The 16210-nt window shown below is 37.2% G+C and overlaps 1 protein-coding gene across 59 annotated transcripts in view; it reads right to left on the bottom strand.

The window, feature by feature from the left end:
- Positions 1–3092: 3092 nt before the first annotated feature.
- The window catches only part of INPP4B (inositol polyphosphate-4-phosphatase type II B), an 823376-nt gene continuing 810258 nt past the window's right edge, over positions 3093–16210 (bottom strand). For 43 of the 59 annotated variants that reach the window (NR_169617.1, NR_169615.1, NR_169599.1 and 40 more), the window contains one exon: positions 3093–8847. Coding sequence is in view for 46 of the 59 variants with exons in the window: in NM_003866.3 (NP_003857.2) it covers positions 8715–8847 (133 nt within the window). In the remaining 13 variants the exon portion in view is untranslated. The other 16 variants (NM_001331040.1, XM_011532391.3, XM_024454274.2 and 13 more) reach the window with 3 other exon arrangements.

Consider the following 16210-nt stretch of genomic DNA (forward strand, 5'->3'; position numbering starts at 1 on the left):
CTGAAAGACAGTGTGTGTGTGTCTGTGTATGTGTTTATGATATATTTATCATGTGCATAGACTCCTAGTATGGATATGTGTGGAAGGTAAAACCACAGGGGATGGAAAATAAGCCTCAATAGGGAAAGTGAGGCCAAACTGTAGATTTCATTGACTACCAGAAGTGAAAGTTTGGATGAAACTATAGTTTTAGTTTGGATGGAACTATAGTTATAAAAGTAATAAAGAATGTACAGAAAGGAAATTGCTTTGTTAAAGGAATAAGAAAGTAAAAGTATGAGGAGAGGTGGTGGTAAAATTGACAAACCTTAGTGACAAACAGAATATGTCGACAGAGATGGAGGAGTCAAAGCTGATTCAAACTTGTGAACTTCTTGGACAAGGATATAGATTCCATTAACAAGAGACAGGAAACCTGGGAAGGCTGTATGTGCAATGAAATTGTGAATATTTAAATACATATATTAATACATTCACAAATAGCCAGCAGAGACTTGGTAAAGGTAATGCAGGAGCCCAAATAAAAATAGAAGATCAAAAGGTTAATCAGCAACAACTTTCAAATTTGAAAATATATACCCTAGACTAAGGGTATCAGTTATGGATATAAAATCCAGTTATTGCTAGAAGAAAATAATTTAGAACATTTATTACAGGGAATTAGATGTTTATAAAATCATTGGAAAACATGGCGGAACCTTATGTTGCAAGACCCTTATCAGTCTTCTGGATTCAAACGTCTCTGATCCAGTTGTTACCAAGTGCTATTGCTAGCCAGAGGGCAGGAAAATGTTACCTCTATGGTTGTCACCACTGCTGACATAGCCACCTCAACTGACAACCTAGTAGGTGGATAATAGATATGGGAGTCTAACTGCTGCTTGCATTCTACTGCAATATACTTGTCTGTGCACACTGGTATAAAAAACAAATAATAATTTGCCTCCCACTCCTTTCTGCCTTCCAAATATGGTATAAGTGGATCTCATTGGCAGACCCTGTATCATATCATGAACTCTCATGGTAAGTGCACCAGGGAAAGGGAGTTTTTAGTCTTCCAGCCATTCTCTTTTAGGTGGTGGGACTCCAGGGACATAAAATATAATTGGAAAACATGCTGAGAGCTAGCAGAGAAGACACAGCACAATGGTCATTGCGCAAAGGGCTATACACACATTTTCTCACTTTTCACCAAGAAATGGTAATTCATATTATTGATACACTGACTTTATAGATAAGAATGTGAAGACATAGAAACATTAAGTAACTTGACATAGATCCACATTCTAATCAGTGTGGGAACCAAGATTTGTATCCAGGCATTCAAACTTAAAAGCTGACATTCTTTAGCCCTATGCTGGAGTATTTGCCTTAGAAATAACAGCTGTAGACCTCAAGAAAGAATGTTAACTGAACAAAGAATATCAAGTCTAGATTTTGGGGCAATTCCCAAATTCAATGAACAGGGAAAGGAAGCAGAAGTGGTAGCTGAGACTAGAGAGTGTTGGAAGTGTGTATCATACTCAAAGTCAAAGGAGGTGAATTATAAAGGAGATGGTGGTCTATGGTCAATTGGTCTAAGAACAGAGAAACCATCATACTAGGCAAAAGGCAGGTCAGTATTTTCACTGTTATTCTGTTAATATGAATAGAAGTATTAATACTGTATTTATTTGAGGGCTACAGTGAAAATCAAGTCATATGAATTAAGAGACGGAAGATAGCTTTTAACAGTTGAGTACCACATTCCTGGAGTGCTACCCAAATGTGCTTTTCCCCATTGCCTTCTCTTTGGACTTAGTTTATTAAAAGACTTAGGTTCCTGAGTTCCTGTTATGCATCAAAACCATTGAGAGAACAGAGAACTCAGTGTGTGTTGTTCCATGTAGTTCTAGAGTTACAGTCATACCCACGTGGCTGCTTTGGCTGAAAATAGATTCTAGATTGACAAACTCCAGCCACATCTACCTGCTCTCCTGATTCTACCCTCTGGTAAAAACAAAATAAAGCCTTGGGAGAAATTTTCTGAGTCCTTTGTTGTACTCTGATTTTGAGTGGTATGTCATTCCCTTAAAACACAGGAATCTTTATACGGATGTTTAAGGGTACTACTACTTCATTCAGTCTACTCTTCTGGTTTCATAGCAGGCAGCATTTTGCTAGAATTCAGTATGCATTGTTTCACCAAGGAGCTACTTTCAGCATTATTCCTGCTCAGCTATAGAAAAACATGTTATACTAACATTTACTGATGAAGACATTACGGAAGAGGAATATTTCTTGCTGCAGGATCAGATATGTTTTTGAAAATCTCCAGGTGGCAAAAATTCATTCTTTCATTGCTTGTAAGCAGGAGCTTCATTTGGCTAATTCCTCTGCAACATGATATAATTAGAGCTTTTTGGAATTTGCCTTCTACTATCAATTGCTATAACAAATTATAAATGATTAGACCTAAATAGTCTAAGAAAAAATTATCTTGGTGTGTTTAAATGACTCTACATATAATCTTGGCACACAAGGTTAATGATTTGCTCCATGTTAAACATTAACACCTGGTTCTGAACCAACTTAAAATTGTGGTTGATATTTTTTTTTTCGAGACGAAGTCTTGCTTTGTCACCCAGGCTGGAGTGCAGTGGCACGATCTTGGCTCACTGCAACCTCTCCGTTTCCCAGGTTCAAGTGACTCTCCTGCCTCAGCCTCCCAAGTAGCTGGGATTACAGGCGCATGCAACAACACCCAGCCATTGTTTTTGATTTTCAGTAGAGAAGGGGTTTCGCTATGTTGGCCAGGCTGGTCTCGAACTCCCAAAGTTCTGGGATTACAGGCGTGAGCCACCATGCCCGGGCAAACTGCGGTTGATCTTGCTTCCATGGAATAGCCATCCTGAAAAGTAAATTCCGCTGGTGAAAATGAGATTAAACTGGCATCAGTGAAAAATTTTCACTGTAATTGCGGCCCAGTAGAAAATTAACTGGGAATTGGAATATTGTTTATGCTACATTTCTAATATTTTAATTAAGGTTTAAACATTTCTGTAGTGATGAAAATGGAAACAATGTATAATGGGGAGAAAAAGACAGAAACATAAAAAATAAAAATCATTTATTTAAACAAAAATATACACACAGTGTACAATGAATATGGTTTACACAGAACAATAAAACAAAAATGATATCTCTTAAATGCCAACATAAAATGATCTATTTATGCCTAGAAAAAATTTCTAGGAATACACATTATTGATTCATCTAAAATACATATATAACATAAAAAGAAAACAAATGCCAACCTTTCAGATGAGTACCACAAAAACCTAAAAGTTAAATGTTAGATTAAATAAAATTATAAAATATCCACACGAGAAGTATGTGTATACAAAGTATTGTATGTATGCAGTGAAATGAGAGTGCCCATACAGTTATATGCAAACTTTTGAAAGTTTCATAGTTGTTTAACAAAATATTTTTAATGTTGATAGTGACATAAAAACATCACAAGAATTATCTAGATAATATAGCAATATTGCCAAAATTTGAGTCAATGTTACCTGTGAGTGCAATAGGTCATCATTGATCGCGTCCTTTCATGACCTGGCGGTAATTTAGATGATTGAAGGAATATTATGAATGTATTTACACTGTGAGTGTGAAAGGGCAACATTTTTCTTCCTAAAGAACTGTATTTACTAAAATATATTTTTTTTGGCAAGATGTGATTTATCAGGCAACATCACTTGTATTAGGTCTTCCTTCCCTTGGTACTCACTCTCTGTGGGTACCATACTCAATTGTAAATCTTTTAAAAATTTAAAATTCTAAGTATGCATGCAATCTGTAAAAATTCCAATTTAGGATAGCTAAATTCATTACATTTTTTTTTTTGCTTATATTACCTTACTATTTTTCCTGTCTCCTTGTTATTAATAGCAAGACATATGTTCCTTTTAGAAATGTTTGATTCTCTTATTTGCTTAGAAATAGAATTCAATGAGTGATTAATGTACACCATGATTCAGAAAAACAAATGCAAATTTCCATACATTAACTCTACACATAATGGCTTGCAATATTTTATCTAAAACATTCATTTTATTTTCCAATTCTTAAAGATAGTTTTTGCTATAGGTGGCATCTCTGTGAACGCAGAGCTCTAAATTAAAACTGCCAAAGCAACAAAAGATATAATATATTGGGACTTTATAAGCTAAGAAACATAAATACAGGTGGGAAAAAGCATAGCTTATGTAGATTGCTGCTGGGTTAAATGAATATGAATTCACACTAAAATTGTCAATCAGCTACACATCTCTCACCAAATCATTCTTTTTGGTCGTGCATAATTTTTAAGGCCTCCAGCTACTATGATGCCTTGTGTTCAATATGTTTCCTTCCCTCTGTAACTGATGATCACAGTTTTTTTAGACAAGTTTCCTAAATCTGTGATAAAAGCTAATTTATTTCCTAAAAGACTACAAATGGTGCCTCATATATTGAACCAAACAAATGATATACCATCCTGCTTGGAAATCAAACACCTAAAACATCTGTGGTGATTTAGCATAGTGCCAGAGTGTAATTTGTTTAATGTAACAGTTTTGGTTTCAATTGAGCTATATTTATTAGAATCTGGGCACAGTAATATGTTACTGTTTTTCCTACTTTTAGCAAATGCCAAAATTATAAACTCCAAAATAGATGGTGAAGTACATTTTTAGTGATATCTGATTGGGCTAACAGTTCCCTGAATTTAGCCCTGAGTTATTGCTTAGACTACAGTTGAATTGCTAAGAATTCTCTGGCAAAGCATTATCAGGAGAAAAGGTGATTTAATAATTTAATTATGAATAAAATATAGTCATCAAATATGACTTTTAACCTAATAGGAGTCTTTAAAGAAGGTAAAAACCAAAACATTTATATAACCAAAATTATAGCCATCTGAAGATAAGGGATTGCATTTGATACTTTTTAAATAATTTTATACTGCCTCCAATAATTTATTTCCTAATAAAAAAAAAAGAATATGGCATTCATTGTGTGCTGGTAAATGCTCAACAATTGCCTTTCCAGGAATTAAAATTGCTAGTTTGTAGCATTTGCCAGCCAGTTTCTATGGTGTTAAATACTCCCACTGTGGACAGTTTCAAGCTACGAACACCATGTTACTGAATCTGCAGTCAGGAAGAGACCCACAGTAGCACAATATTGTATCCTGTTTTCACTGTAAAGATGTAATAGACCTAAATAGACTCAAGAGTACTAATAAATAGTATAAGGTAGTAAAATAATTGGGAAGTGGTATGTTTTGATTATTACATTGGTTTTTAATGTATTCCACTGTGTTTTATAATTTCATATTTAATAATGGTAATGTTTAACAACTAGCTTACAAAATTTCTGGTACTTTAATTATCAACTTTTATGCATCAGAACGAGCTAGTTCCAGCCCACCAGTGGTATTGTGTCTCTTGGTACACTATCAACTTTTACATAGGGAGAGGTTTGATTTGCTTGGGAAGAAAGGCATTACTTTATACACATCAGTTTCTCTCCTTTTTTACCTCTTATTTTATGTAAAGTGCCATACATAGCTGAAGGATAAAAAGGAAGTATCCTCCATCCAAATGCTAGCTTTTAAGCCTTCAGAGTTTTTCAGAAGAGGGGTTAGTCTTATAAAATAAGGGCTGGAGGCTGGGTCCATGGAGCTCTGCCCTGATTGGGCAGTTTGTCATTTAGTACAATTTATCACTTGGAACAAATGGTTGCTCGACTCACTGAATTATGAGGCTGACCAAACTTATGTTCAGGGATTGTTTTGGCAGAGTGTAGACAAACCTCAAGGCGATATTTAAAAGCAAAAAGCAATGATATGAGATGTAAATGAATGGTTTCCTTGTCTTTAAATATGTTTTTCCTAGGGCTCAGTAAATAGCTAATCCAGAATTGATATCTGCATTTAATATCAAAGGGGAACATATTATTTTTGAGCAAAAAAAGAGTTTGGAAATGTCATTTGCTCAGTTCATTTTTTGGCTCAATATGACCTCCTAAAATAGGTCTGCTGGTGTATCTTTTAAGTGAAAATATAGATAGAATAGCATGACTGTGGCTGTGTTTGTTCAAGAGAGATTTAAACACTTTAACATTTGCTCTTTGATTTAGCCTTAATAACTTAAGAAATAGTGAAGTGGTTGTTTAAGAATGAACTGCCTCTCAGGAAAAAAGCAATATTGTTGTCTCTATGAAACACATTTTCTTGATGAAATCCACTTTTAGAAGTTTGCACCAGTACAGGCTTTCTATAAGGAAATGCAGATGACTATGGTAATGAATGAAAATTCATAAGCATTTGTATTACAGTAAGCACTATAATTTGAGACTTCTATATTATTCATTTATTTACTTATTTAAAGATGGAGTTTCGCTCTTTTCACCCAGGCTGGAGTGCAATGGCATGATCTCAGCTCACTGCAACCTCCGCCTCCGGGGTTCAAGCGATTCTCTTGCCTCAGCCTCCCAAGTAGCTGGGATTACACGTGTGTGCCACCACATCCAGCTAATTTTTGTATCTTTAGTAGAGATGGGGTTTCACCATGTTGGCCAGGCTGATCTCCAATTCCTGACCTCAGGTGATCTATCCACCTTGGCTCCCAAAGTGCTGGGATTACAGGAAATCCTTGAAATGTCTTTTAAAAATAGAAAACCCTACTGCTGGCTTTCCAGTTAATATTTTTCCATATTTAAGTAGTTTGTTTTCAAAAATACAAATAAAAATTATTGCTTATAAGAGTATTTACAGAATGATAAATTACTTAAGGTTTCTTAGAACTCAGACTACCATTTGATATGCTGAATGAGGCTTCATAGCTATTCAAGGAGGCCTCTGTCATCCCAGCCTATCTTAAATCTAATAGGGTAATGAAAATAACCACAAATCCTACCATTTTCAAATGATATTGAACAACTCAAAGGTTGTATTTAATCACTAAAATAAAGAATGAGTTAAGAGAACATCAAGGTAATTTTGTCTATGAATGGATTCAAAGTACACAGCACATTTTCATTAAAAAGGCTGTAAGTAGTTTGGTACCTGCCTCAAGTATAATGCCCACAGGTAATTAGCTAAAATAAAAAATTGATAATTCTAGTATAAAAAGCTCCAAATGCTTATCTAAAATTTGTAGTAATTTGAAAAACTTAACATGGGGCTAGAATCCTTATTTCAACAGGAATCCTAGGCAAGGAGCTATCACATTAGCTATGGGAAGCATAATATCATCCATTGATCATAGCTAAGAGAGGGCTTAAGAAGCCTCTGTTATTTTCAAGGGAGATTTATGCTTTGGATAGCATGCTCTTCTAATGAGAAAGGAACAAGAATTTGTAAAATTTGGAGAAAAGTTTCATTCGTTCAGACTTTTGTACTCTTAGTTTCAATTCCAGTGATAAATCCTAATTTCTTTTTAACTAGCATTCTCCCTCAATTTTCATGCATATTTAGCATGGCAATTTGGAGAAGTGACAAGCCACAGGCTAGGAAAGTAAGAAGAGATTGTAATTCAAATTCTGCAACTATCTCCTGAGTGATTGGGGGTGATTAACCTTACCCATGTTTGAATACTGGTATTATACAAGATGATTTTTTTAAGGAAACTTCTACTTTGGGATTTTGGAAAACTTATAAATGTTATTTTGCTGAGTAAGGGCAAGGGCAAGTTTGATATTCAGGGCAACAGAAAATAATTGTTTTACTTTATCATTTGTTGTGGTTGCATATGTTTTAAAGGCTTATTAACACACACAAACCTATGCCATAACTGCATGCTTACACCAGGATGACTGCTAAGAAACATCTCAGAGATACCTCACTGACATTCATGAACTTCACAACATAAAGTTCAGGCTGATGGGAATTTTCATTTTGGGTATCAAAATGTTGTTCATTTTTATTTTATTTGTAATTTTAGATCATTGCAGTGTTTTGCTTATCATTCTATTAAACGTTCTATATTGCTACATTCACAGCTAGATCACACAACCCAAGTCAGAGTTCTGAAAAGATGCCATGGTTTTGAAAGGTCTGTTGACCACTTTACTCACTCCATGCATATGCCTGTTGCAAGGGAGGAGTCACACCTTGACTGGATGATAGAGATCATTGTGGAACATACCTGCAAACTGCCTCAGTATTCCAGATCATGAGTTAACTCTACCTAATTGAGTGGCTACACATTTTTTTTAAATCCCTTACATTGATTCTCAGGTTGACTGTGTTCTCATAGGCTATTAAGTTGTATCACAAAAAAAATATGTTCCTTTTCCCCCTCTCCTCTCTTCCATTTGGTTGGAGAGTGGTGCTCTGTGAATCACCCCTAGTCCTATTGAAATGATCCATGTTTCCTCAGAAACATTTAAATACTCATGAATGAAATTTACACTTTGTGAACCAATCTCAATCAGCTAGGCTCAACACATAGAAGCTTAGAACTAGAAATGACAGTACTGAATCATGTAAGATTTTTTAAAATGGATTTCTTTCAGAGCAATATGCTGATGATGAATTGAAGTAGTTCCTAGATTTTGGGAAACATCTGTGATCATCTCCCCCACCACAAATTCATGACAATAAAAACAAACAAAAAAGACCAAGGTGAAGATTATCCAACTGAAATGTATTTGTGTTCCTGTTTATTAACATGTTGGTAAACTTAGGTGTCAGCTTTTCCATAAGTCCCCTCTGGAGGTCTGTAGTACTTGGGGAAAGCCATCAGCTGTAGCATGTTGAAAGCATACTTTCTGCATTTGATATTCTTCAGTACATTCTCTATGCGGCATCCTTCTCTGGTGAAAGGGGAAAAAGTACAACTTCATGAAACACAGAATAAATAAATATGCTTTATTTGTTTAATGCAGAGTTGCAGCAACCATCCAAGTAAAAATAACAAAGATTCAACTCTACATTTTTTTTTTCCACAAGTGATGATACATCTTACAAAATTAAATCCTAGGCCAGGCCCAATACCATTATTGCCCTCTGAAAGAGATGACTTAAGTCTCTTTACTCTTAACATTTAAAATTTAATAAACTCTTTAAATATAATTTGCTCCACAATACAGCTCCACTTTAGTTTCATAAATATATCTGCCTTTTTATAACATTTCCACAAATTAATTTCTCAGTCTCTTTAAAACACATTAAAATCTATATGTAGCCCTAAGGATGCAGGTTCTAGAAATAAGGCATTTAATTTATTAAGTCTGGCCCTATAGATTTTTAAAGAAAAATTTCATCTCTATTTTATTATTTTAGCTGTGCAAGGAAGAGAGAAAATGGCTTTCTGAACAGCCTGGGCCAAGTCTCAGCTTTATAAAGGAAGAGTGCTTGTCCACGGACAGTACAAAAGTCACAAGTGCTGGGAATGGTACATCAAGACACAAACAAGACCTTGTTAAAAAGAATAGAAAAGTCCTCTGAAAGCCAAATCAACCCAAACAAGAGATACAAACAGGTAATTTAATTACAAAACATAAATAGCCATTCTCTCCATAAAGTTACTTGACAGAAAAGAGTTAATTGCAGCAAAGAAGTAAAACAGGTTAAAAAAAATTTCTATCAGCAGATGGCATCTATGATATTAGCACAGTGGAAATAAAGTCTGCAACCTCCCACATCTCTAGAACTTGTCTCAGGGTTTCAGTGTTTGTGCAAATTTCAGTCTTAATTTCTTTAATAAATTTAGTGGGATGAGGACAGGAGGTTCAGAACTTCAAGCTTTCAGGATTCTGTTCTTTGTCTTATTCCAAAGACAGTAATTTAAAAATTCTTCTTGAGCTAGTTAACAGTGGGAAACACCTTTCCATGAACAAAAGAGCAAAATAATCCACCTAATGCATAGTACTTTTTGTTTTTTAGATTTTAGGAAAAACAAACTAAACACAATTTAACATTTTTTAAATTCTGTGAATTTGAAAATGTAAAAATATTACAGCATTGTCCCCATAATTTAAAGTTCATTGTCATTTGTAGAAAAGAAAAAGGAATACAACATAAAACTTATTGGTATTTGGCTAAGAGTAACGCCAGACTTAAAATAAGCCACACAACTAGCAGGTGTGAGCTGACAAGCAGCAAGGCGACAGGATAGAAGTGTCGAGAAGTTGGCTTGTTATCAGTTAGACAGCCTGTTTCAGGATCATCGGATTCATTCAGTGCTCCCTGGGTTTGTCTGCTGTTAAATGAGGGGAAGTTGGGGGGGAAAAGAAAATAGTATAGAGTTCACACAGTAAAAAAAATTCAGCCTTAAATATTCTGAAATACAATGCATTATCTTACATAACACAACTCTTTCAGATGAAATCTTATGGTAAATTTCCCCAAATGCATCTTGTGTATTGTTTTCTCATTGTACTACATGGGCAAAGGAATTAAAACAGGAGATTCCTTTAGCTCTTTGTGCAAGAAGGAAGAGAGAAACACTGTAATGATATTCACATGGGTTGATTACATATGTGCAAGGAAGAATCAAATAAGCATAACAGCACCAAATCAAGACTTTATGAATACAACTAAAACATGGATTAGCTCATGAAAATAATCTGATAACTACATCTTTAGAAAATGAAATGAACAACACAGGATGTAGTGAAGCAAACCAATGTGTCTGGCATATTTAAACATACTCTCTACTGGCATTGCACCTATATAATGTATTTAAAGTTATAAAAATGATTTATTGAAATGGCACAATCTTTAAAATGAGTGAGACATCTGACATGCCATCCTTGCAAGCCATAATATTAGTTTAATAAAATCCAACTCAGCACCCTTCTGTTAGTTCAGCTCATAAATTATATCACCTCCTGCTCATCTTCTTTAGATAGGGCCAAATCTATCTCCTATGGACATCTCATCTGAAAAGAGACCCATATTTACAGAGTGATACCACAGAAAATAAAAGACTTCATTTCTAGATTGTTTACTTTCTGTGTAAATAAAAAAAAGTAGGGGGTTGGTTTATAATTCTGCTTAAAAGCAGCTCCAATTATGGCCAGTCTGAAATATACCATATTGATATAAATTGAAAATAAAATAATTATGCTCTAGTTCATCAGTATTCAGAGTATTAAGAATCTCAATCACATTCAGTGGTTAAGGGGGTGGGATATTCTCTATTAGCTCTTCTATGTTTTCAGGCAAAAAACTGATTGTGGCTCAGTCTTATGAAAAGTGGAACTTTTCAAAGGAAACTTCTAACGAAGCTCCTTAGCCATGGCTGATTTCTAGTCCTTCGCAATCCCCAAACAAGTCCTATACAGAAATTTTTGACCAGGCATTGACCACACCAGTGTCAGCATTTACATAAATATCATAATTATTTCATACAATATGAATTAGTGTAAAACACCAAATCAACCATGTTGTGCTGTGCTCTGTTATATCCTCATGGTTTGGTAGAACCTAAGGACTATGCAATCAGTGACAAAGTAAAAGACTGCCTGGAAAACAAATGGTTTACTGAGCAAAAGGGGGTTTATTTTTGATTTGCATTTATTCCTATTGTCAATTGTATGAGTAACTTGGTTACTATTCAACTTTTTCCAGCACACCAGGTAGAAAATGTACAGTATTTTAGGCATTGATATTTTTTAAAGTGACTAAGAAAAGCTCCCCTTACATTATATTATTTCTTCTATTGGCTTCAAATCCCTAATTGTTAATCCCAGAGAAGGAGTTTATTCATTTCTTCAACCCAAAGTTTTTAGTGTCTACTATGAACCAATTGCTGCTGTGTAGGCACTGGGAATACAAGGTTGGATACATCAGATAGAGATTTCAACAATGTTTATTTTTGAGTTGGACGAGCAGGAATAGAAAAATAATAACATCTGATAAAAGCACCATGAAGAAAAGTAAGGCAGGAAAAGATTCATATGTGTGTGAGACAGAGACAGAGAGAATTTTAAATAGGAAAGTTAGAGAAGTTCTCACAAGAAGGTAACGTTATCACAGATTGAAGATAGAAAGGGAAAGAAAGATGTGGATGTTCAAATTAATTTTTTCATTGAGCTAGTGCATTACCTAGTAACTTCCTGATATAAGGGGACTGGAAAGTTTAGGCTGGAGGACAAAGGGGCATGAAGGAATACTGAGAGGGTGTTTTCTGCCTGGCTGGGTCTCAGTGGGAAAGCCCAGGCTACCAGGGGCAGCAGAGAGGTAGGGAGGGAAGTGACCTGAACTAGTGGATGGCAGACCAAACTGGAGGAGAGACTCTACAGTTATGGACCCCATTTCCATTACAGAATCCAAATAGAGACAAGGACACTAAGACCCCTGAGGGTAGCAGTTTGAATTTCCCCTATAAGAACCCCCCAAGATGATCTTGGAAGGAGGGCACATAGATCTGAGGTGGTTCTAGATGGCTCATTGGAGCAGAGGACAAAAGTATGAGAACTTCAATATTGCCAATATGTATCTCATTCTATTAAAATTACTTTTTCATGTATTTCAAAAAATATATATTAGTAGAATAGCACATATAGAAATAGCTGTGATATAGATCAGAGCACAGACTCCGGAGTCAGACCAGCTGTTTCAAGCTTGGTTCTGCCACTTGCTAGTGGAGTGGCGTTGAGCATGTCATTCAGTATGTCTGTCTCTATTTCCTTATCTGTAAAGTGGTGATAATAACAACATGTATATCATCGAACTGCTATGAAGTAGCTCATGTAAGTCAATTCTTACAAAGTTCTTAGAGAATGCCTATAGCAAGCATTCAATAACTTATGCCATTTGTATATCAATAAATAGGTACATCTTGGTAGTGTACCCAGAAACTTTTTAATTAGTATGTTCCCTCCTGCCTTTTTTTTTTCCAGAAAAGACTCACAGATTCTGTTTAATGCATGGTAAAGAAAAATATCACCAGGTCCTTGGGAGTAGCAAGAAAATAAAAAAGCCTAAAACATGTACTTTGGAGAGAGGAAAGCTTATTCCCATGGAAAAGAAAAAGAAAAGGAATCTGAACAATTGCTCATCTGAGGGCCATGTGGGTCTCCAAGGAGGCTTTTAGCACATGCCCTTCCTGTAATCCAGGGGTAACCATTGTTAACCTGACCAATTCAGCAAAGAGGGAAAAGTCAAATTTCACAGGGAAGGCTGGTCCATAAACTTGGTTCTGTCCACAATGTGTGTCTTGCCCAGCCACTGTGCTGCCTTTATATACAAGTCAGGCACATTCCCCCTCCACTGTGCCAGCCACACCCTCTGGACCATGGGCCAGTGGTCATTTCCAGCAGCAGAGGCTGAGGTCAAGGCAGGGTTGGAAGGAGTTGCTGTAGTGAGTGTTGTGACAGCACTGGCCAATGTAGGGGAAAAAAGCAGCAAGCCAATGCCTGGTTGGGGTCAGTTCATCAGGGTCTGTAAGTCTCCTTCACTGATCATTAGTGCTGAAAGGAACCTCTAGAGGTCATTCTGTGCATTTCTCAACTTCCTTTGGGTCACTTTCATACATGGTTTTCCCTCCAGGTCTGATAGATTTTCAAGAAAGAGCATGCCTTCAGCTTCTTTTTATCTCCTAAGTAAGTTCTCCATTTCATTTTTTTTTTTTTTTTTTGAGACAGGTTCTCTGTCACCCAGGTTGGAGTACAGTGGCGTGATCATGGCCTACTGCAGCTTCTATCTCTCGAGCTCAAGTGAGCCTCCCATCTCAGCCTCCCAAGTAGCTGGGACTGTAAGTGTGCACCAACATGCGCAGCTAATTTTTGTGTTTTTTTAATAGAGATGGGGTTTCACCATGTTGCCCAGGCTTTTCTCGAACTCCTAGGCTCAAGCAATCCTCCTGCTTTAGCCTCCCATAGTGCTGGGATTACAGGCATGAGCCACTGTGCCTGGCCTCTACTTCATTCTTATTGAGTACTGATACTCTACTTATCAGGCCAATCAGCTAACATTTCAGGGAATAAAGTCAATAGTTTGGTTACTGTACAGTCCATGGTAAACATTCAGCTCCGAATATTGACAGTGCTGAGACTGAGAGACCCTGCTTTAGCATGAGACTCTCTCTATATGTACATATAAATATATCAACTATAACCTATCTATCTAACCTTCTTATCATTTATCTTTAAGGCAGTAGTTTACAACCAAGTGATGTTACCCAGGGACATTGGGCAATATCTGGAAGGATTGTTGGTTGTCATAACTATAGGAGTGGGGGTACTGCTACTGGCATCTTAGCAGGTGGGGCCCAGGGATGTTGCTCAACATCCTGCAATGCATAGGACAGTCCCTGCCACAATCACCCAGCCCGAATGTCACTGCTGGCATAGCAGAGAGGCTGGGCCCTGGCTCTTTGTATTTCATACTTTGCTCTGCCCCCGCGATCCCCTCTTACCTCTCTCTTTCCACATCTCCTGTCTCCATCAGGAATTCTATTACTCACGCAACCCCCATAAACAATGCCCAACTCCCTTCCAGCCCTCAGTTCCCCACAGCCTGACTGATCACAGCCTGCACAGCCAGGCTCACCACTGCCACCCTTCCTCTATCCCTGCTAGTCTACCTTCATACACATCAAGAGTCACACCGGACCCCTTCCCTTGTATCCAGACCATATATGGTCAGGAAACCATATATTTGTTTTATGATGTCCTCTGCTCAGAGCACCAGGCACCTCCTCCTAGCCACTCCAGTCATGCTCATTCTTACCCTTGTTACTCATAACTAACTTCTCCTGTCCTTTCTAAAGTATGGCTCCAGTAGCATCAGTTTCCTGCTGGAAGTTTCCATGGCTTTTCTAGGCCTGCTGATGAAGTTAAACCCTCCTGGCTGGGGCACCCTCATCCCTGTGTGTACCAATTCTATCACCTGGAACACACACACACACATATACCATCTCTGACTAGTTTGCCCTCCTCACTTCTTGCATCCATCAAGTACCACTGCTTCCAGGAAGCCCTCCAGGTCTGTGTCTGTGTCTCCCTGTCTCGCTCATCTTCCTACCTCTTAGAAGCACTTGGCATCAAGCCTGGCACAGGAGGATTTGTCTGAGGCTCACATCAGCACGAGGAGGCAGGCCAGCATCCCCACTTGGCTAAATACGAGGGATCTGGAGGCCAAAAGTCTGCCTTCAGATTCTACCTGGCCTCTTAGTTCTGCCTGCTTGAGAGATTTGATTTGTCTCTTCAAGCCTCCATTTCCCTTCTTGGAAAGTGAGGTTAGGATGAATGAGATCGTCCCAACGTAGGTGCACAAAAAGAGCTGGCTTGCAAAGTCCCAGAGGTGGGTTGGATAGGACAGATGCTGTGAGCCGAGATATTTTGTGCACCTACGTTGGCACCTTTTAAAATGTATTTCTCTAGAATCTTTTTAACTAGATAAAGATACTATTCACCTAGAACCTTTTTAACTGGTAGAGATGTATAATCAAACCAAGTTGCAAGCCACTAACCTAGCCCACTGGTGTTCAAAAGTGGATGTACCAGGAGGTGGGTGGAGGAGCAGAGGGCCAGGACATGCAGCTTGATCTTACCAGCAGCAATTGTTTATGTCTCTGCAGAAGAAAGTATTTATGTACCACCCCAGACTATATTTGGGTAAACAATAGTCATAATTATGTCACAGCAATTTGAATTATACCAAATCAATCATGCTGTGGTCTGGTTGCAAAGAATAGTTGAAAATAACTGGTCTATCTCATGCTTGAATAATTCTGGCAATGAGGAGAAAATGCTTTTCAAAGAAGTTCATTCCACCCACAGCCAGCTGTAGAGGGGGCTCAGTCATAGAACATGCATGCAGGCATGTGTTGGGTAGGTAGGGAGAGGGGCAGGAGGAGGCAAGATATAGTTCTTTTTTTTAAAATCTTTCAACTTTCATTTTAGATACAGGGGCATACATGAGTAGGTTTGCTATTTGGGTATATTGTACATGGACAGTGAGCTTAGTACCCAAAAGGTAGATTTTCAACCACCCTCCCCTCCTTCCCTCTCCCCTCTAATAGTGTGCAGTGTCTATTGTTCCCATGTTTATGTCCGTGGGTGCTAAATGTTTAGCTCCCACTTATAATTGAAAATGTGGGGTATTTGGTTTTCTTTTCCTGTGTATTGTGGTTGCTATTATCGTTAATATTATCCTAGCACTACCTCCTAATCTGTCTAGTTTTAAGGTGAAGGTTATCTGCAGAAAATCTTAATAACTTTATTG

Source organism: Homo sapiens, chromosome 4, assembly GCF_000001405.40.
Source record: "Homo sapiens chromosome 4, GRCh38.p14 Primary Assembly".
In the NCBI taxonomy this organism is placed as follows: domain Eukaryota; kingdom Metazoa; phylum Chordata; class Mammalia; order Primates; family Hominidae; genus Homo; species Homo sapiens.